Source organism: Homo sapiens, chromosome 3 (assembly GCF_000001405.40).
Source record: "Homo sapiens chromosome 3, GRCh38.p14 Primary Assembly".
Taxonomy (NCBI): domain Eukaryota; kingdom Metazoa; phylum Chordata; class Mammalia; order Primates; family Hominidae; genus Homo; species Homo sapiens.
Genome location: NC_000003.12, coordinates 120,734,405 through 120,756,385, shown reverse-complemented (window position 1 = coordinate 120,756,385; position 21,981 = coordinate 120,734,405). Strand labels below are relative to the sequence as shown.

Below are 21,981 nucleotides of genomic sequence, written 5' to 3'. Positions count from 1 at the left end.
GGACTCAGCAACTGAGCAAAACAATCTTGGAAAGATTTCTTTTTGTGTTTGTGTTTTTAGCACTTCAGGAATTGAAAACACTGCTTATAAGATACCTCCTGTCCTGGCAATAACAAATGCTGGCAAGAACGTGGAGGAAAGGGAACTGTCGTACACTGTTGGTGGGAATGTAAATTAGTACAATCACCATGGAGAACAGTTTGGAGGTTCCTCAAAAAACTAAAAATAAAGCTACCATATGATCCAGCAATCTCACTGCTGAGTATATACCCAAAAGAAAGGAAATCAGTATATCAGATGTATCTGCATTCCCATGTTTGTGGCAGCACTGTTCACAATAGCTAAGATTTGGAAGCAACCTAAGTGTTCATCAACAGATGACTAGATAAAGAAACTGTGGTGCACATACACAATGGAGTACTATTCAGCCATAAAAAAGAATGAGATTCAGTCATTTGCAACATAGACGGAACTGGAAATCATTATGTTAAGTGAAATAAGCCAGGCACAGAAGGATAAACATTGTACCTTCTCACTAATCTGTGGGATCTAAAACTCAAAATGATTGAATTCGGGGACACAGAGAATGAAAGGATGGTTAGCAGAGGGTAGAAATGGTAGTAGGGATGGGGGATGGCTAACTGGTAAAAAAAATAGTTAGAAAGAATGAATAAGACCTACTATTTGATAGCACAACAGGGTAACTATAGTCAATAATTATACATTTAAAAATAACTAAAATAGTATAATTGGATTGTTTGTAACACAAAGGATAAATGCATGAGGGGATGGATACCCCATTCTCCATGACGTGATTATTACACATTGCATGCCTGTATCAAAACATCTCATGTACCCCATAAACATATACACCTATTTAGCCACAAAAAATTTCTTTTAATTAAAAAAATTTTTAAAGATATCTCCTATTCTAAGTAGAAAGAGAAGACAGGAAAAAGCAGCCTGCCCTATGAAGGCAAACTCTTTAATCAAGTCTCACAAATAGAGAATCTTAAAAATTTTTAAATGTTAGGGTAAGGGAACAGAAAAGGAATCTCAATGAATGGGGCCATCAGGAAATGGATCTGTCCAAACCAAAAAGTTTTATCTGTAGTCACAAGCCAAGAAGGGACTCATATGATTTAACTCCAAACTTACATATGAATATCTCAAGTAGATACCAAGTTTACTTGACTATTCCAAACTCAGAACTCATCACTAGAAGAGATCTATTCCATTGTTGGCTATTTTTACGAGTTATTTATTAGACACTTACTTAATTATCAAAGACTTCTTTATGCTAATACTAAAATCTGTTGCTAAGTCTTTCCATGGAGCCAAACAAAACAAGGTAAATCTCCATGAGAAGTGTCATATTCTCCCTTAATAGTAAATCTAAAACAGCCTAGCAATGTATATACCCCTAGATTTATTCGTTATTACATTATGCGATCCTCCAAATCCAAGAGTACAACATAGGCATGTCCATGTGCACCCACATACACATTATTTGTTGAGTTGAACTAGATAATCTCTGAATTTCTATTTCTAAGATTTTATTAAATATACATTTATAAGATTCTTTTTTAAAAAAAAATTAAATTATCTCATCTCAAAATTTAAAATGTGACTCCTAGGTCCCTAGGTGAATGCAGTAAAAGGGGCTCCCGAATTATTTCCAATTCAAACATCTAACAATTCTACTCCACCCACTCACAGTAAAACTACAATGCCATATATGTTTTTAGAGAAGCTCTAAAACTGTATTTTTTTGCCCAATATTCCCACTGCCAAGAATTCATAAGAAAAAATGTGAACAGGAATAATGTGCTATATATACAAAGGTATTCAAAGCATCTTATCTATACCAGCAAAAAATAGATACCCCCAAAGTGCCCAAAAGGAGGGGAAAGGAAAATGGGAAAAAATTACACCTATTAAAATGTATTTTGAACACTAGATAGAAACAGGAGAGTTTGGTACATTAAGAAACCAAGAGATCATAAACTATTCTAAGCTATGATTGTAATTGTAGGTAATACGTAAAAGGCTGGTGGCTTTGTGGGTGATTTTTTTCTCTTCAAATTTGTCTCTGGCATTATGGTTGCATAATTTTTAAACTAAAAATGGAAAATATAAAGCTATTTCCAAATCATCTAACCTTAACATCTAAAAAGAGCTAAGATCCCCCTCTGCCCTTCAGGAGAAGCATGCTGTTGAACTTAACTTAGAAGTGTTAACTTAGGGTGATTAACTAAATCACCCATGGTTGAGACTGCTAAAATAGAAATACTTAAGTCTATTTAAATGGTCAGAAAGCTTGCTAAATCTAAAACATGCATTTATGAAACACAAGATGTTATTTTGCTGATTCACTGAGAGATTTCATGTCATGTTTTTGTTTTGATTACATAATCCTCCCATATTTTAGAAACTTAAAACCTGGTTTCACCTTAATGATTAAGCTTCTGATTGACTAGTGTGCAAAGGCTAGGCTATTCCATTTTAACAAATAATGTATCTATACATTTGAAGAGAGTTCAACCCAGAAACATCAAAAGCAAATCTAAATGGAAAGTATGGAGAAAATTTACAATCTTTAGGAAAAGTAGAGATGGAGTAGGAAATAGTAGTAAACTGAAGTAGGAAGACCGGTGGCTTATGTGTGAATTAACAATGGTAAACAATCCTTGCTGGGCTGTTTCCTGGGTCCAGAATTTGCAGGTGGTCCTCAGGAGCTCATCTAGGAGTTACTACCCTTTGTCCTGTGGCAGAGAGCTGCCCATACACTTGAGTTAAGCACCTTTTGTCAGGGAAAACAGTAAAATCTAGCAGGCTTCAAATCCAATTTCTGAATATCCCCTAATTGCTTATGTAAACCATAAGTCAATCTAAGAACTATTGAAAAGAAATGGAGGTAGAAGGCCATTAAATACTTCCATCACTTGATCAGAAATATTATCAATCTCCTCTAGCAACCAAGAAACTGGGTATTTGTACAGGACTGGGCTTAGAAAGAAAACTACAATCTACCAATTTAGACAAGGCATAATTATTACAGCAGAAAAAGTTCCCTCCTTCCTTACTACACACACCAAATTTTTATTGCCCATCTTCTTCATAATGGGGTGGGAGTAGAGGAGAGGACAGAGAGATGAATACCGAGCAAAACAAGAAAGAATAATAGAGAAAAACACAAAGATTTCTAAAAGGAATGTACAGACCAAAGGAAGTTGTTGGGTATTAATAGTTTAAAAAAAAAAACAAAAACAAAACTCAAAACATCAGAACTGGCAAACTAGAGCCTAATATCACCTAATCAGCACATTTTCTCCTTAAAGGAGCATCTAAATGAAAAGCCACGTTACAATAAAAAGGCAAGTATGTTCTCAGAATGAGGGTCCCTAATGATTATAAATTTTTAATCATGATACCTCAGGCTTTACTGTAGGACATAACTGCCAATTAAGCATTAGTGTTGGCTGACCAGGGCACCCTCCCCTGAGTGACATTAAGATTAAGTGGCTTATTCTTGCTCTCAGGCACCCCTTCTTTTCATCTTCATGCTGACCATAGCCCTCACATTAAAAATAGTCTTTGTTCAGACTGGCCACAACACAATTGTTTCAGTTTTAGCTTTATTTCATAAAATACTTTCATGCCCTCTACCCTAACTCCTTGATTCAAGTCACCTTGACTGTACTGGATGGAATGTTAGGCCATCTCTTCCACAGGCCATCTATTGAGTCAACTAGTTTCATTCAGAATCCAGGTGAAATTCAAGAGTATCATGATCAGTCTCCCAAATACTGATATATAAGTAGTGGAATCATCTCCTTTTAGAAAGTTTAATTAAATTAATATGACTCAAATGACAAATAAATGTAGTAGAAGCATGTTATTTTAGATTACTCTAAGGGACTGGATAACACCTTCTACTGTGGTCAAGAGTGATGAAGCCTCCACTGTTAAAACCAACATCTGTAGAGAATTACAAAACCAAGAACCCAGAGCTCCTGTAAGAAATCTGTTAGAGTGAATGGCAAGAATCATGAGACTTTTCTAGTCTATTTTGAAGAGCTCCAGATATATTCTACAACCTTCCTCTATAGAACACTCAAGCAATTCTCATACCGAGGATGGTTAAGACTTTCTTATAATCAAGATCTCTCCTTGTGGAGCCCTTTCAAGGTAAAAAGCTCGGCTCAGACAAATTAAATGTTTAATACAATTGTGAATTCCTTAAATCAGTTTTCATCCAAAATCATTGCCTCACAGTAAATAAGAAAAAAAGGTCACAGATTGCTTCTGGCTCTTTTTGTCAATAATCTTAATTTATATTGGGGTTATTTCCCACTTAAAAATTTTTTTTAATTATTTAAAATGTACCATATATAACATAAAAATTAGAAAATAAAACATACACAGAAATCTGTAATTTTGCACAACCAAATATTTCATGGGTCAAAGTTTAAACTTTCAGACGAAGTTTTTAAAAAAGCAGATCTATGAACTAAAAAGTAGCCTATACTCCTGAATTCAACCATAACAAAGGGACTTAATCTAATTTAATAGCACTGAGTCCTTCTATAGATTTTTACCTGTAGAAAATAAGACAAAATTGATCGAGTATTTAGCAAAACTAGTCTCTTTTTTATTGTGTAAACAGATAACAAGATAAAATAACTATATAACTCAGAACTTTAAAGTTTCTCATGTTTATGCTAGACATATTGTATTTTCAGATAATGCATGCTTTCTAAATTGTGTTATGAAAAATCCTTAAAACTATTCAATCAAATCAGGCCAATTATATATCTTGTTGACAATTTTCTTCCAACAATAATGTGTATCTAAAGGACACTAAATGTCTTATCTTGGAAAGAATTCCCCTCTTATTTCATCTAGCTAACTCTTACTATCTTTTAGGTCTCAAATGTTAACTTCTTCCAGAGGCCTTCCCCAAATCCAGATTATATGCCCTAGTTATATACTCCTGATACCACTTTCTACTTCCACTAACAAAGCATTTAAATACACTGTATTGCAACTGTCTAGAGGTCAAAAATAAAATTAGAACAGCCTCAAAGTGGTAGAGAAATCAACCCTTCAGATTAGGCTGCAGTTGTAAACAAGGTGGGGTGGGCAGAGGCAGGAGGGCCATAAGTGAGAAACTCCCTTGTAAAGGAGAAACGCTTTGCAAAGGCTTCTCAAAGTAGTGCGACAGCCAAACAGGACAGTAAGACTGACTGTATGCTGTGATTTACACTGATCCATTCACTTTTATAATAATATATATGATGGTTTAAAAATTAGATGAATCAATTTAAGAAAAAAGGTAATACACACTTTATTTTAAAGATTCACAAACTGGATAAACCTCACCTGTCATAGGATCAAAGAGCTGATTAGCTTCTAAGTCTGTGAAAGTACTACTACAGACAGGACATTTGAAGGAAGCCCGGTTGGTCGAATCTCTCTCATCGGTCTCAATTCTTCTTCTCATGTGGTCCAGTTTATATTTTACCACATTAACAAGAGTACGATAATTGATGAAGTAGTAGTTATGGCGAGTGGTTTTCCCGTCTGCAGCAGTCTCTACCCTCATTCTGCATTTGATAAACTTGTCTCCCTTTAAATTATTCAAAACTGATCGAAGTTGCTTCCGATCAAACTTGAGCAGCTCCAGCATATCCTCCTCTTTCACACAGGAGTTCCTGATCAAGATGTCCAAGGCCAAGGCATGCTCAATGCCATAAAATCCCCGGATCACATACTTGGCTAACCGCTTCAATGCTGCTGGAACTTCAGTGAGGACATCTGGGTCTGCCATCTTTAGCAACGAACTCCAACTTTAAATATACTGAATTCAAAAAAAAACAGAAAATTAGCCAGGTATAAGAACATGGTAATCATATCCACTATCCTTGCAGTGCCAGAAAAGTACCCAAAGTGTTTAAAAAGATTTCTAATACCTAAGCATTTAACAGAGCAGAACAAGATTTTCCTCTAGAATGCACAAAAGATTACACCCAAAAAGCTTTACATATTTCTTAAATGGCTACTTTTATGATCTATAGTGTGTTTGATTAAAAAGTAACTTTTTATTTATAAAACAATATATTACGTCAAGTCTACTTTACTTCAGAAGAGAAACACAAAAAAAGCTACATGAAATGCTCACTATTCTTTGGGAATGCTGGAAACCCTGAGAAAACTAGCAGTTCGCATTTCCTAAAAGTGTCTTTGTTTCCTTTCTTGAGTAAAATTTTTCTACCAAGATTCTAGGATGTTTTACATAGTCATGCTTTCACAATAAAATCACAACAAACCAATAAACACATGAGTAATCACCACCTGGGGTGTTTGACAAAATCATTAACTGTTGTAAAACTGAAAGAAAGTAATACTTAGATCCAGACAGTTTTACCAACCTTGAAAAATTGAATCTGATAATCAAGGAAAGACCATCCAGTCCTTAAAAAGGTAGAAAATGAGGGAGGGAGAGCAGCCCAAAATATTCTTAAATACTGGATCCCTTGACAAAGCAGAAACTAAGTGTATCTCATTTCCGTACCATGACCCAGAAAGCTGTCTTCTCAAAGCCCACATTGGCATATAGTTTACTTTAAAAACCTGGGCTTCGGGCAGAGACACAACCAAAAAGGAGAATTTTAGACCAATATCCTTGATGAACATTGATGCAAAAATCCTCAATAAAATACTGGCAAACCGAATCCAGCAGCACATCAAAAAGCTTATTATCCACCATGATCAAGTGGGCTTCATCCCTGGGATGCAAGGCTGGTTCAATATACGCAAATCAATAAATGTAATCCAGCATATAAACAGAACCAAAGACAAAAACCACATGATTATCTCAATAGATGCAGAAAAGGCCTTTGACAAAATTCAACAACTCTTCATGCTAAAAACTCTCAATAAGTTAGGTATTGATGGGACGTATCTCAAAATAATAAGAGCTATCTATGACAAACCCACAGCCAATATCATACTGAATGGGCAAAACCTGGAAGCATTCCCTTTGAAAACTGGCACAAGACAGGGATGCCCTCTCTTACCACTCCTATTCAACATAGTGTTGGAAGTTCTGGCCAGGGCAATCAGGCAGGAGAAGGAAATAAAGGGTATTCAATTAGGAAAAGAGGAAGTCAAATTGTCTCTGTTTGCAGATGACATGATTGTATATCTAGAAAACCCCATTGTCTCAGCCCAAAATCTCCTTAAACTGATAAGCAACTTCAGCAAAAAGTCTCAGGACACAAAATCAATGTACAAAAATCACAAGCATTCTTATACACCAATAACAGACAAAAAGAGAGCCAAATCATGAGTGAACTCCCATTCACAATTGCTTCAAAGAGAATAAAATACCTAGGAATCCAACTTACAAGGGATGTGAAGGACCTCTTCAAGGACAACTACAAACCACTGCTCAATGAACTTAAAGAGGATACAAACAAATGGAAGAACATTCCATGCTCATGGGTAGGAAGAATCAATATCGTGAAAATGGCCATACTGCCCAAGGTAATTTATAGATTCAATGCCATCCCCATGAAGCTACCAATGACTTTCTTCACAGAATTGGAAAAAACTACTTTAAAGTTCATATGGAACCAAAAAAGAGCCCACACTGCCAAGTCAATCCTAAGCCAAAAGGACAAAGCTGGAGGCATCACGCTACCTGACTTCAAACTATACTACAAGGCTACAGTAACCAAAACAGCATGGTACTGGTACCAAAACAGAGATATAGACCAATGGAACACAACAGAGCCCTCAGAAATAACGCTGCATATCTACAACTATCTGATCTTTGACAAACCTGAGAAAAACAAGCAATGGGGAAAGGATTCCCTATTTAATAAATGGTGCTGGGAAAACTGGCTAGCCACATGGAGAAAGCTGAAACTGGATCCCTTCCTTACACCTTTTACAAAAATTAATTCAAGACGGGTTAAAGACTTAAATGTTAGACCTAAAACCATAAAAACCCTAGAAGAAAACCTAGGCATTACCATTCAGGACATAGGCATGGGCAAGGACTTCATGTCTAAAACACCAAAAGCAATGGCAACAAAAGCCAAAATTGACAAATGGGATCTAATTAAACTAAAGAGCTTCTGCACAGCAAAAGAAACTACCATCAGAGTGAACAGGCAACCTACAGAATGGGAGAAAATTTTTGCAACCTTTTCATCTGACAAAGGGCTAATAACCAGAATCTATAACGAACTCAAACAAATTTACAAGAAAAAAACAAACAACCCCATCAAAAAGTGGGCGAAGGACATGAACAGACACTTCTCAAAAGAAGACATTTATGCAGCCAAAAAACACATGAAAAAATGCTCACCATCACTGGCCATCAGAGAAATGCAAATCAAAACCACAATGAGATACCATCTCACACCAGTTAGAATGGCAATCATTAAAAAGTCAGGAAACAACAGGTGCTGGAGAGGATGTGGAGAAATAGGAACAGACTTTTACACTGTTGTTGGGACTATAAACTAGTTCAACCCTTGTGGAAGTCAGTGTGGCGATTCCTCAGGGATCTAGAACTAGAAATACCATTTGACCCAGCCATCCCATTACTGGGTATATACCCAAAGGACTATAAATCATGCTGTTATAGAGACACATGCACACGTATGTTTACTGCGGGACTACTCACAATAGCAAAGACTGGGAACCAACCCAAATGTCCAACAAGGATAGACTGGATTAAAAAATGTGGCACATATACACCATGGAATACTATGCAGCCATAAAAAAGGATGAGTTCATGTCCTTTGTAGGGACATGGATGAAATTGGAAACCATCATTCTCAGTAAACTATCGCAAGAACAAAAAACCAAACACCGCATATATCTCACTCATAGGTGGGAATTGAACAATGAGAACACATGGACACAGGAAGGCGAACATCACACACTGGGGCCTATTGTGGGGAGGAGGGAGCGGGGAGGGATAGCATTAGGAGATATACCTAATGTTAAATTACGAGTTAATGGGTGCAGCACACCAACATGGCACATGTATACATATGTAACTAACCTGCACATTGTGCACATGTACCCTAAAACTTAAAGTATAATAATAATAAAATAAAAATAATAAAAATAAAAAATAAAATAAAATAAAATAAAAACCTGGGCTTCGGGAGGTGGAGGTTGCTGTGAGCCAAGATTACACCATTGCACTCCAGCCTGGGCAACAAGAGCGAAACTCAGTCTCAAAAAAAAACAAAACAAAAAAACAAAACAACACAAAACTGGGCTTTGAAATTCAGAGTACACAGCCTGTGTTTTGGTAACTGTGTAATCCTGAGCAAATCCCTTAAACAATTTCAAGCCACCTTTTACTCGCTAAGAAGTAAGGATAGTATCAACTACCTCAGTGGAGTTGTTGTGATTAATAAGAATATAATTAAAGTGCTTAGGAAGGACAGCTTCCATATCAACTTAACATGTTCCAAACTAAAAATGGCTAGACTATCCACACAGATTAAATCAAGTTAAATTTCCCTAGGCCACAGGGAATTTGTTTTTCTTTTCATAGAGAGAGTGTCTTGCTCTGTTGTCCAGACTAGAGTTCGGTGGTGTGACTTGGCTCAGTGCAGTCTCAACCTCCTGGGCTCAAGCAATCTTCCCACCTCAAACTCCCCAGTAGCTGAGACTACGGGTGGACACCACCATGACTGACTAATTTTTGTGTTTTTTGTAGTGACAGGGTTTCACCATTTTGCCCAGGCTGGTCTCGAACTTCTGGGCTCAAGGGATCCACCTACCTTGGGGGCTTCCTAAAGTGCTGGGATTACAGATGTGAGCCACCACACCCAGCCCACAGGATAATTTTTTTTTTTTTTGGAGACAGGGTCTCGATCTGTCACCTAGGCTGGAGTGCAGTGGCGCAAGCTCGGCTCACTGCAACTTCTGCCTCACAGGTTCAAGCAATCCTCCTGCCTCAGCCTCCTGAGTTGCTGGGACTATAGGCATGCACCACCACGCCTGTCTAATTTTTGAATTTTTAGTAGAGACAGGGTTTCACCATCTTAGCCAGGCTCCACAGGATAATTTTTAAGAGAGACATCCCATTGAACTATTTCAATGGAGAATCATATTCTGTTATTAATACTAGTTTCAACTAACCCTTTTATTTGAAATCAGTGGTTATCAACCCAACAGATTTAATACTCTTTTTATAAGAAATATTTTTATATCCACAGTACCATACTATAAGGAAACTCTATACACCAATCTATAACCAATCTATGCATATATTTTGGGGGGAAAATATAAGGCCCTTCCTGTAATAAAGGAAAAGTAAAAGTCAGTCAAAAGAAAATACGTACTTTAGGTTATAAATACTCAGGTATGACTACATATTGTAAGATATAACAAAGTAGCACCTAGATCCAAATCTGTGAACTTAGAGCCTTCCTGCTACCCCAGGGCTTAAGGATGCCTGGGAAGTACCTGGGCTCGACACCAAAGTAGTACCACAGCATACTACTGGACACACTTTTCTCTCCTTTTCGGTTTGGTCTATACATTGTACTTGAACCCCGTTTTCATTTTTTGTTGTTTTACATCCTCAACAGTTGTCAGAACACAACATATGGCTTCAGAAACATTCAACAAAGAACAGCAGAAAAATGTCAACATAACCTGTTTCCAGGATTATTTCCTACTATTGTATTCTCCTTCCCTGCCCCATACATGCCATGCCCCAGACTAATAGTTCTCAAGCCTGGTTGTAAGGCAGAATCATCTAGGGAACGTTTTAAGAATACTGATCCTGGGCCCCACTCCTAAAGGTTTTGTCTCAGGTGGTCTGGGGCAGCCAGATTAGGCATCACACAAATTTTTAAAGCTCTTTAGGTGACTCTACTATGCAGCAAAAGTCCCTATTATATATCCTGCCAATGCTCATCCTGCATGGAGAGGTCCCTGTGCCACTTATTGCTCAGCCTGTTTCCTTTGCCTAAAACACCCTAGGGAGCTGTGAAGACTAAAATAAGGGAGTGATATGAGGACTTTACAATCCAACAGTTTTGGGGTTTAAATCTCAGTTCCAGTATTTCTTAGGCCCCCTGACCTCAGAAAATTCTCAGACTCAGTTTCTTCATATATAAAAAGTGATTAAGCCAAGTGCAGTGGCTACAGTGGCTAATACCTGTAATTGCAACACTTTGGGAGGCCAAGGTTGGGGGACTGTCAGAGCCCAGAAGTTGAAGACAAGCCTAGGAAACATAGTAAGACCCCATCTCTACAAAAATTTTAAAACTTAGCCAGGTATGGTGCCATGCACCTGTAGTACCAGCTGAGGTGGATCAATTGAGCCAGGAGGTCAAGGCTGCAATGAGCCATGATTGAGCCACTGCACACCAGCCTCGGTGACAGGACAGGACCCTCAAAAAAAAAAAAAGTGATTAATGGTGCCCTGCTCACACAGTTAATGTATGAACTCAGTGAGATAATTAATGCAAAGTGTTCTGCTTTCAGGGCTGGCATAAGAGTTCAATTAAGTACTGGCATTCATAATAAATCCCCTATTTAGAAAAATGACTCTTATACCAATATGAGGAACGGACTCAAGTGAGTGAAGGTGGAGGCAGTGTGGAATATTGGGGGTATAAAATCTAAACTAAGAAGGCAAAAAAATTGCAAGAAGAGAACAGAATGAATGAAAGTTATTACAGAAAAAAAAATCAAAAGGACCCAACAAAATATATTGGATACAGAATATGAGAGTAGGAAAAATCTTAAATAGCTCTCTGTTTTGAGCCAGCGTAGCTAGGAAAAGTACTGCCATGAGAAATAGGTGACCCCTGACGAGGAGCAGGAAGAAATGAGGAAATCACTTTTAGAAGTGTCTTTGAGGAAATACCATAGGATATTCCTCTGAATATGCCCAGCAGGTAGCTGAACAAATGAAACTAGAGCTCAGGAATGAAATCAAGCTGTGCCACTTTGTTCAAAATCTCTGCATTCTAAAATCCTCCTTCCTGACCACTACCTTCTCTCCTCCATCACTTCCCACTCACGCTGAATCTCCTTACTCAATCTCTAGAGGTCTTAGGTAAGAGTTCTCAAACTGGCAGCCCCCCACGCATTGTATCACCCAAAGAATGTTTCAAAAATTTTCTGAATTAGTTGTCAACATTTAAAAATTGTAAGAGTTCACATAAATTTCAACTTCCAGCTCCTCTTGCAAAATTGGAAATATCTGAGGAAAAAGTGAGCCCATGTTCCCACATGGAAACAATAAGCTGAAGCCGAATAGCAGCTGGCGTTATTAGGGAAGGAGTATGGCTGGTCTCTGGAGACTTCTGAGCGTGGGACCTCCTAGGACCTTTGTTTCTTCCTTTGATCTCCATAGTCCATGAGTCAGATCCCAGCCTCACCTCCCTACCCCAGCCCAGACCCACGTGTATTTTAATCATATCAACATTTAAGGACTACTGTGCACCAGGCACGGAGCCAGAGAAACAAAGTTGAAAAGAAGGCACCCTCTGCCCTCTGTCTACCCTGTCAGCCTCATAACCAGCCACACCAGCATATTCTCAATTCCATGAGCCACATGTGCTTTCCCTGCATCCCAAGGCTTTGCACATGCTGTTCCTTCTGCCCCTACAGCTAAGCCCAAACCCCCTTCTCCTAATCATCCTTCAAGTCTCAAATGATATTTCCTCATGGAGGCCTTCCCAGACTCCCCATTAAGTAGCATACAATCATCCCCTTTCACGTGTTCCATGGCTCTTTCCCCCTTCTTGTACTTTCTCCATGTCTATCTCTAAGACCAGACTTCATCTTGTTCACCAATTAATTTCCAGCATCTAGCATAGCCAGACAAGTACTTCCATAAAACTTTCCATATGTCTCCTAGGCACGTTTTGTTCCAACATGGCTCATCTTGCCAGCTTCCCCCTGCTTCACTTCCTCCACTCTTGTTTCCAAGGTAGAATCGGACAGGCTACTGGGCACTCTCTTCTTAAATTTAAAACAGTTTTAAGCGGGAGGTGCGTGGATCAAATTCAGGATGTTAAAAGATTGTACTGACTGCAGAGTGGAGAAAAAAACAAGAAAAGTGGATGCGAAGAGACCAGTTAGATTACTTCAGTAAATCGCCACTCCAGTTCTAGAACAACTTGGGATTCTACACATCTAACTGCGGTGTTGTGTTACCACATTTCATGGCACTTTCCACGCCTTCACACACACAGCGGCAAACTACCGCGAAACCTCCGGACCCAGCTGCCCTCCACGAGACGCGTTCGGTGATATGCACTCCTCCCCAATGCGAGACTCCGAGACCCCAAACTCCCTCGGACTCTCCCAGTTGGGTCCAGGGCCACACTCGGCGCAGCCAAGCCCGCCCTACCCGAGGTCGCACACGGGCCGCTCCGGGGTCAATGGTTCTTTGGAGGACCAAGAGGACCAAGGCAACAGGGTAATTCATTAGGGGAGGATAGTTAAGAGGGAGCGAAAGGAAGAAGAAATCATGAAATGCAATGCCCGGCCAGGGAACTCCGAACAAGGAACAGGGAACAAGGTTTACCAAGGCGAATCCTGGAACACTCCCACTACAGCTGCCCCCAGCGCTTCAACTACCGGCTTAAATGAACCACGCCCCTTGCGCGACAAAGAAAACGCACTATTCCTGCGACCAGCTGGGGAAGCACCCCGCTACCTTTTACCAGACCAGCCAATGAGTTCAGTGAAACCTTCGATCAAGACAGTCACGCTCCGAGTGGCCAATGAAATTGAAGGCTCTGCCCTCCATGCCCAACTCTGATTGGCTTACAATCCAGGAACAGGCGTTAACCCAGGGAAGGCAGTGGCAAGATGGCGTCCCTGGATCGGGTGAAGGTACTGGTGTTGGGAGACTCAGGTGAGCGGCTTACCCTACCTCTGGGGCTCCAGACACTTTTGAGTTACCCAGTAACCCTCCCCTTAGCTTCCTTCCCTCAACTTCCTGGCTCCTCGGCCCGTGGCTGAAGTCCCTCCCAGGGCCTGAAGACTACACTTCCCAGGGGACTTTGCTCCGTGTGACGACGCGGTGGCGGCGGCGTCGTCGCGCGGGTGGGGGTCGCGGAGCCCGGGTCTTTTGCCTTCGCGGCTTTCCGCATCGGTCTCCCAGGCGACCCCAGCCTAGAGTGTATTGTCAATTCTTTTATTAAAAAAAAAAAAAAAAAAAGCAGGCATTGAGTATTGTATGGGGTTCTATGTTAAGGGTACAGAAGTTAGTAGGACCGTGCCTTCAAGAGATTTTGTTCATTAAGGAAGTCAAACGTGCACTGAGAAACGTGCACTGAGAAACGTGCACTGGCAAGCGCTTCGCATGTATTAACTCATTTAATTCTGAGACAGTCCTGTTATCCCATTTTACAGATGAGAGTAGTGAGGCAGAGAGATGTAAATGACAGAATCCTTTTGAACGCGGAGTCCACGAACTTAAACGCTAAGTTATAATTATGCAGTGACATATTGGGTAGTGGTCCTGTTTTATTCTTAACTGAGCTTAATTTCCTGGTTCTCGTTTGATCTTCATTGAAAACCTATTATGTCCTAGACTGTACAATAGAGAAATTAAAGTAAGAGTTTTATTCTGAAGCAGCTAGGATTTAACGCTGAGCCCAATTTAATCCTAGTGTTAAATATATATATATTTTTTTAATCTCAGTGGATGCAAAAAGAATTCTTTTGACACCTGGGACATTTGAGAACTACAGCTGGCGTCTGGATTTCCAGCTCCCACCTCACTGCCCTTATCTTTTCTTCCATAATCCCCAATTCAGCTCTCCTTAGTAACTTCAATAAATGCTGACCTTGCATTTTATAGAAGCGCTCCTCTGGAGTTGGCCTAAGAGCATGTGTTGTGAGCAAAGACGTTGTGCTAGATGCTTGGAGGTGGAGAGGCTTGAAAACTTAATAGAAACTAAATAAAATTGTGGGCAGCAAATATAGGTTAAGAATGTTTTCACATTGCCCTGAGGATTATTTGCATTATGAAATATTTTACAGAGAGCATTATTTAATATTCCCCTAAGAAAGTTGCCTTTTGAAACTTAATGAACATAATCACAATTTATGTCGACTTCATTTCTATCAGGTAGCTTGAAGTGGTGCCGAAGTTAATTTAATAAAATCACTCAGTTTTACAGATAAAGTAATTGTGGCCTAAAGGGACTTGGCAAGAGTATCACTGAGTAGAATTTACAATCCAGAACTAACAGACTTCTTCATGATACGTTAAGTGGGTGTTTTGTGTCCTTTATAATTCCATTTTCTATTGTATCTAACAATCCCTTCATATTACAAACTGTTGCAACTAGTCAATTTATTTTCTTTCCAACAGGCACTGTATTAGGTTCTGGGGTTATAACTGTGGAATTAATGCGTCATATAACAGGGATAGAATTAGCAGCTACATTAAATGTGGAAAAGTAATCAGGCAATTGATAAGCTTCCCTACTGCCCGCCTCCCCTGTTATGGTTTAGTTGTAAAGCAGAAGACACAGCTGTGATGGCCAGGAAAGTGATTGATGTTGTCACACATTCACTAATGTTAACCTTTATGTGCAAAGTTAGTTATTGTCTTTTTATCTTTTTAAAAGGTAATTTTGTCAGTCTCCTTTTAACTGCGATTTAAAAGTACACAGTCTGACAGTTTAGAATGCACTTTTTACACTTCCTCAGCCTTTCTTTCAAACCCGAAAGTTTATTTTTAAATAAAGGCCATTTCCCTTATAAAATTTTGAGGGTTTCACAAATATATAAAGAAATGACTTAGCCAGACAAGGTGGCTCTAGCCTATAATCCCAGCACTTTGGGAGGTTGAGGCGGGTGGATTGCTTGAGCTCAGTTCAAGACTAGCCTGGGCAACATGGCAAGACCCTCTCTCTACCAAAAACAGTACAGAAAGTTAGCCGGGCATGGTGGTGCACGCCTGTAGTCCCGCTACTCAGGAGGCTGAGGTGAGAAGATCACTTGAGCCCAGGAATTTGAGGCTGCAGTGAGCTAGGATCGTGCCACTGCACTCTAGCCTGGGTGATAGAGTGAGACCCTGTCTCCAAGAAAAAAAAATAAAAAGAATAAGTTGATATTTGGTGATTTGTTTTTATCCTATTGAGATATTTGGTAATTTGGTAAGGAACCCTGAAAGTCTCACTACCATACGGTTTTCTCTTTCTTTCAGAGATTAGGGACTAGTTTAACATATTACCAAACAGCTGTATTTGGAGCTGACATTTATTTATATTGGGCCTTTTTTACCCCCAAGCAAATCAAGTGCATTCTTTTGATCAAATTTAGTTCTAAAGGTGAAAACATAGAATCAGAATCTCCCAAAATTCTTAAAGAAATGAAATTCGCCATTATTCCCTAGCACTTCAACTGTTCTTACTGTTTAGGGTTTCATCCCTTCTTAGCTAATACTTATCACCCAAAGCAGTTAATTCATGGAGAGCTATACAATTCTACTGCCTGGAAATGTTTACCCTAACACAATTAAGCTAAACTAGGCCTCAAGTGTTGCATCAAGCTGATAATTAAGTGGATAGATACATTCCTTGAACATAAACAAACCTATTTACAAATACAGAATCAACAATACATCCTAAAAGTTACAGATATTAGACACAATGCAGTAAATTCAATGACAAATATAATTTTGAGTATTTAAAAATCTTAAATGTTTCTATATAAAAAAAGTAATAAAAGGGAAGCCTGAGAAAATGTTTGATTCAATTACACATACGTAAAATGATTAATATATTTAATAGATAAAGAGCTCATATAAATTAATGACACTAAAACCTGGTAGATAAAGGTACAGAGTAGATCAACAGAGAATTTATGAGAGGAAAAACAACTGATTTGCCAGAATAATCATAATGATAATCTTTGATCTTTATCAGAAAGTAAAGAAATGCAGACTAAAGCAAGCTGTCACTCCCCCACTGCCCGCCACCACCGAGACGGATTGTTGCTCTGTCACCCAGGCTGGAGTGCAGTGGCGCAATCTCGGCTCACTGCAGCCTCTGCCTCCTGGGTTCAAGTGATTCTCTTGCCTCAGCCTCCCAAGTAGCTGGGATTACAGGCACCCACCACCACGCCCAGCTAATTTTTGTATTTTTAGTAGAGACAGGGTTTCACCATTTTGGCCAGGCTGGTCTCGAACTCCTGACCTCGTGATCTGCCTGCCTCAGCCTCCCAAAGTGCTGGGATTACAGGTGTGAGCCAACGCACCTGGCCAAGATGTCACTTTTATTCCTTTATCAGGTTAACAAGGATGAAAAGCCAACTACATGATACTGTTGAGGTGCAACAAGACCTGCAGGCTCAAGTGTATGGCTGGTGGCAGTATAACCCCATGAAAGTTATTTCTCAATGCATATCAAGAACTTTAAATGTTTCCTTTTAAGTACTGAGTTTACTCCTGGGAAGGTATACTAAGGACATAATTTTAATTTTAAACAAAGGTTTAAACAGAAATAACCTTTCACTAGCATATCAAAAATTTCAAAACACCCTAAATATCTAATAATAATGGAAGAATGATTAAGTAAATTTTTATGCCTACTTTCTGAAGTACTATGGAGATACTTTAAATGTTTATGAAGATTTTGGAATAATATGGAAACTTTTAATAAATACTAATTAAGGTTCTGATCTAAATACTAGAGATAAAAAAGCTGCGTAAGAACCCTCAAGGAACTTAAAATTAAGGGAGTGGTTCCAAGATGACCAATTAGGAACAGCTCCAGTCTACAGCTCCCAGCGTGAGCGACGCAGAAGACAGGTGATTTCTGCATTTCCAACGAGGTACCAAGTTCATTTCACTGGGGCTTGTCAGACCGTGGGGGCAGGACAGTGGGTGCAGCCCACTGTGTGTGAGCCAAAGAAGCGCAAGGAGTCAGGGAATTCCCTTTCCTAGCCAAGGGAAGCGGTGACAGACAGCACCTGGAAAATTGGGTCCCTCCCACCCTAATACTGTGCTTTTCCAATGGTCTTAGCAAACAGCACACCAGGAGATTATATCTCTGACCTGGCTCAGAGGGTGCCACACCCACGGAGCCTTGCTCATTGCTAGCACAGCAGTCTGAGATCTGCAAGGTGGCAGTGAGGCTGGGGGAGGGGCGCCCGCCATTGATGAAGCTTGAGTAAGTAAACAAAGAGGCCAGGAAGCTCGAACTGGGTGGAGCCCACCGCAGCTCAAGGAGGCCTGTGTGCCTCTGTAGACTCCACCTCGGAGGGCAGGGCATAGCCTGAAACCTCTGCAGACTTAAATGTCCCTGTCGGACAGCTTTGAAGTGAGTAGTGGTTCTCCCAGCACAGAGTTTGAGAACAGACAGATTGCCCCCTCAAGTGGGTCCCTGACCCCCGAGTAGCCTAACTGGGAGGCACCCTCCAGTAGGGGCAGACTGACACCTCACATGGCCCAGTACCCCGCTGAGAAAAAGCTTCCAGAGGAATGAATGATCAGGCAGCAACATTTGCTGTTCAGCAATATTCGCTGTTCTGCCACCTCTGCTGCTGATGCCCAGGCAAACAGGGTCTGGAGCGGACCTCCATCAAAATCCAACAGACCTGCAGCTGAGGGTCCTGACTGTTAGAAGGAAAACTGACAAACAGAAAGGACATCCACAACAAAACCCCATCTGTCCGACTCCATCATCAAAGACCAAAGGTAGATAAAACCACAAAGATGGGGAAAAAACAGAGCAGAAAAGCTGAAAAGTCTAAAAATCAGAGCACCTCTCCCCCTGCAAAGAAACGCAGCTCCTCGCCAGCAAAGGAACAAAGCTGGATGGAGAATGACTTTCACAAGTTGAGAGAAGAAGTCTTCAGATGATCAAACTTCTCCGAGCTAAAGGACGAAGTTCAAACCCATTGCAAAGAAGCTAAAAACCTTGAAAAAAGATTAGCTGAATGGCTAACTAGAATAACCAATGTAGAGAAGTCCTTAAATGACCTGTTGGAGCTGAAAACCATGGCACAAGAACTACGTGATGATGCACAAGCTTCAGTAGCCGATTTGATCAACTGGAAGAAAGGGTATCAGTGATGGAAGATCAAATGTATGAAATTAAGTGAGAAGAGAAGTTTAGAGAAAAAAGAGTAAAAAGAACGAACAAAGGCTCCAAGAAATATGGGACTATGTGCAAATACCAAATCTATGTCTGATTGGTGTACCTGAAAGTGACAGGGAGAATGGAACCAAGTTGGAAAACACTCTGCAGGATATTATCCAGGAGAAGTTCCCCAACGTAGCAAGGCAGGCCAACATTCAAATTCAGGAAATACAGAGAACGCCACAAAGATACTCCTCAAGAGGAGCAACTCCAAGACATGTAATTGTCAGATTCACCAAAGTTGAAATGAAGGAAAAAATGTTAAGGGCAGCCAGAGAGAAAAGTCAGGTTACCCACAAAGGGAAGCCCATCAGCGTATCTCTCAGCAGAAACTCTACAAACCAGAAGAGAGTGAGGACCAATATTCAACATTCTTAAAGAAAAGAATTTTCAACCCAGAATTTCATATCCAGCCAAACTAAGCTTCATAAATGAAGGAGAAATAAAATACTTGACAGACAAGCAAATGCTGAGAGATTTTGTCACCACCAGGCCTGCCCTAAAAGAGCTCCTGAAGGAAGCACTAAACATGGAAAGGAACAACTGGTACCAGCCACTGCAAAAACATGCCAAATTGTAAAGACCATTGAGGCTAGGAAGAAACTGCATCAACTAATGAGCAAAATAACCAGCTAACATCATGATGACAGGATCAAATTCACACATAACAATATTAACCTTAAATGTAAGTGGGCTAAATGCTCCAATTAAAAGACAGACTGGCAAATTGTCAAGACCCATCAGTGTGCTGTATTCAGGAGACCCAGCTCATGTACAGAGACACACATAGGCTCAAAATAAAGGGATGGAGGAAGATCTACCAAGCAAATGGAAAACAAAAAAAGGCAGGGTTTGCAATCCTAGTTTCTGATAAAACAGACTTTAAACAACAAAGATCAAAAGAGACAAAGAAGGCCATTACATAATGGTAAAGGGATCAATTCAACAAGAACAGCTAACTATCCTAAACATATATGCACCCAATACAGGAGCACCCAGATTCATAAAGCAAGTCCTTGGAGACCTACAAAGACACTTAGACTCCCACGCAATAAAAATGGGAGACTTTAACACCCCACTGTCAACATTAGACAGATCAACAAGACAGAAAGTTAACAAGCATATCCAGGAATTGAACTCACCTCTGCACCAAGCGGACCTAATAGACCTCTACAGAACTCTCCATCCCAAATCAACAGAATATACATTCTTCTCAGCACCACATCACACTTATTGCAAAACTGACCACACAGTTGGAATAAAGCAATCCTCAGTAAATGTAAAAGAACAGTAGTTGTAACAAACTGTCTCTCAGACCACAGTGCTGTCAAACTAGAACTCAGGATTGAGAAACTCACTCAAAACCGCTCAACTGCATGGAAACTGAACAACCTACTCCTGAATGACTACTGGGTACATAATGAAATGAAGGCAGAAATGAAGATGTTCTTTGAAACCAATGGGAACAAAGACACAGCATACCAGAATCTCTGGGACACATTTAAAGCAGTGTGTAGAGGGAAATTTATAGCACTAAATGCCCACAAGAGAAAGCAGGAAAGATCTAAAACTGACACCCTAACATCACAATTAAAAGAACTAGAGAAGCAAGAGCAAACACATTCAAAAGCTAGCAGAAGGCAAGAAATAACTAAGATCAGAGCAGAACTGAAGGACATAGAGACACAAAAAACCCTTCAAAAAATCAATGAATCCAGGAGCTGGTTTTTTGAAAAGATCAACAAAATTGATAGACCACTAGCAAGACTAATAAAGAAGACAAGACAGAAGAATCAAACAGACGCAATAAAAAATGATAAAGGGGATATCACCACCGATCCCACAGAAATACAAACTACCATCAGAGAATACTAAAAACACCTCTACGCAAATAAACTAAAAAATCTAGAAGAAATGGATAAATTCCTGGACACATACACCCTCCCAAGACTAAACCAGGAAGAAGTTGAATCTCTGAATAGACCAATAACAGGCTTGGAAATTGAGGCAATAATTAATAGCCTACCAACCAAAAAAAGTCCAGGACCAGATGGATTCAAAGCTGAATTCTACCAGAGGTACAAGGAGGAGCTGGTACCATTCCTTCTGAAACTATTCCAATCAACGGAAAAAGAGGGAACCCTCCCTAACTCATTTTACGAGGCCAGCATCATCCTGATACCAAAGCCTGGCAGAGACACAACAAAAAAAGAGAATTTTAGACCAATATCCCTGATGAACATCAATGCAAAAATCCTCAATAAAATACTGGCAAACCGAATCCAGCAGCACATCAAAAAGCTTATCTACCATGATCAAGTGGGCTTCATCCCTGGGATGCAAGGCTGGTTCAACATGTGCAAATCAATAAATATAATCCAGCATATAAACAGAACCAAAGACAAAAACCACATGATTATCTCAATAGATGCAGAAAAGGTCTTTGACAAAATTCTACAGCCCTTTGTGCTAAAAACTCTCAATAAATTAGGTATTGATGGGACATATCTCAAAATAATAAGAGCTATTTATGGCAAACCCACAGCCAGTATGATACTGAATGGGCAAAAACTGGAAGCATTCACTTTGAAAACTGGCACAAGACAAGGATGCCCTCTCTCACCACTCCTATTCAACATAGTGTTGGAAGTTCTGGCCAGGGCAATCAGGCAGGAGAAGGAAATAAAGGGTATTCAATTAGGAAAAGAGGAAGTCAAATTGTCTCTGTTTGCAGATGACATGATAGTATATCCAGAAAACCCCATCGTCTCAGCCCAAAATCTCCGTAAGCTGATAAGCTACTTCAGCAAAG

The 21,981-nt window shown here is 39.8% G+C and overlaps 2 protein-coding genes across 5 annotated transcripts in view, besides 6 other annotated features; one reads left to right on the top strand and one right to left on the bottom strand.

Annotated features, from left to right (window-relative positions):
- GTF2E1 (general transcription factor IIE subunit 1) overlaps window positions 1–13,642 on the bottom strand; it is a 40,326-nt gene extending 26,684 nt beyond the window's left edge. Inside the window, exons 1-2 of the mRNA NM_005513.3 lie at window positions 13,592–13,642; window positions 5,386–5,863 (exon numbers count right to left, since the gene is read on the bottom strand). Coding sequence (NP_005504.2) covers window positions 5,386–5,833 — 448 coding nt within the window. The 5' untranslated portion in view covers window positions 5,834–5,863; window positions 13,592–13,642. The remainder of the gene's footprint in view (window positions 1–5,385; window positions 5,864–13,591) is intronic.
- Window positions 13,332–13,970: an enhancer, noted in NCBI's record as "NANOG-H3K27ac-H3K4me1 hESC enhancer chr3:120461263-120461901 (GRCh37/hg19 assembly coordinates)". NCBI's record gives its function as "activates a minimal SCP1, AML or CMV promoter by ChIP-STARR-seq in naive and primed H9 embryonic stem cells {active_cell/tissue: H9 hESC(naive and primed)}" and the evidence as "EXISTENCE:reporter gene assay evidence [ECO:0000049][PMID:30033119]".
- Window positions 13,332–14,609: a biological region, named in NCBI's record as "NANOG-H3K27ac-H3K4me1 hESC enhancer GRCh37_chr3:120461263-120461901".
- Window positions 13,590–13,709: an enhancer, noted in NCBI's record as "active region_20338". NCBI's record gives its function as "activates an Ori minimal core promoter by ATAC-STARR-seq in GM12878 lymphoblastoid cells {active_cell/tissue: GM12878}" and the evidence as "EXISTENCE:reporter gene assay evidence [ECO:0000049][PMID:35858748]".
- Window positions 13,590–13,884: an enhancer, noted in NCBI's record as "tiled region #5916; HepG2 Activating DNase unmatched - State 1:Tss, and K562 Activating DNase unmatched - State 1:Tss". NCBI's record gives its function as "activates a minimal TATA promoter and a strong SV40 promoter by Sharpr-MPRA in HepG2 and K562 cells {active_cell/tissue: HepG2 | K562}" and the evidence as "EXISTENCE:reporter gene assay evidence [ECO:0000049][PMID:27701403]".
- RABL3 (RAB, member of RAS oncogene family like 3) overlaps window positions 13,706–21,981 on the top strand; it is a 57,743-nt gene continuing 49,467 nt past the window's right edge. For 2 of the 4 annotated variants that reach the window (NM_001363964.1, NM_001363965.1), the window contains exon 1: window positions 13,706–13,924. In NM_001363964.1, coding sequence (NP_001350893.1) covers window positions 13,879–13,924 — 46 coding nt within the window. In that variant the 5' untranslated portion in view covers window positions 13,706–13,878. Of the gene's footprint in view, window positions 13,925–17,718; window positions 17,860–21,981 lie in introns of all 4 variants that reach the window. The other 2 variants (NR_157022.1, NM_173825.5) reach the window with 2 other exon arrangements.
- Window positions 13,850–14,139: an enhancer, noted in NCBI's record as "active region_20337". NCBI's record gives its function as "activates an Ori minimal core promoter by ATAC-STARR-seq in GM12878 lymphoblastoid cells {active_cell/tissue: GM12878}" and the evidence as "EXISTENCE:reporter gene assay evidence [ECO:0000049][PMID:35858748]".
- Window positions 13,971–14,609: an enhancer, noted in NCBI's record as "H3K27ac hESC enhancer chr3:120460624-120461262 (GRCh37/hg19 assembly coordinates)". NCBI's record gives its function as "activates a minimal SCP1, AML or CMV promoter by ChIP-STARR-seq in primed H9 embryonic stem cells {active_cell/tissue: H9 hESC(primed)}" and the evidence as "EXISTENCE:reporter gene assay evidence [ECO:0000049][PMID:30033119]".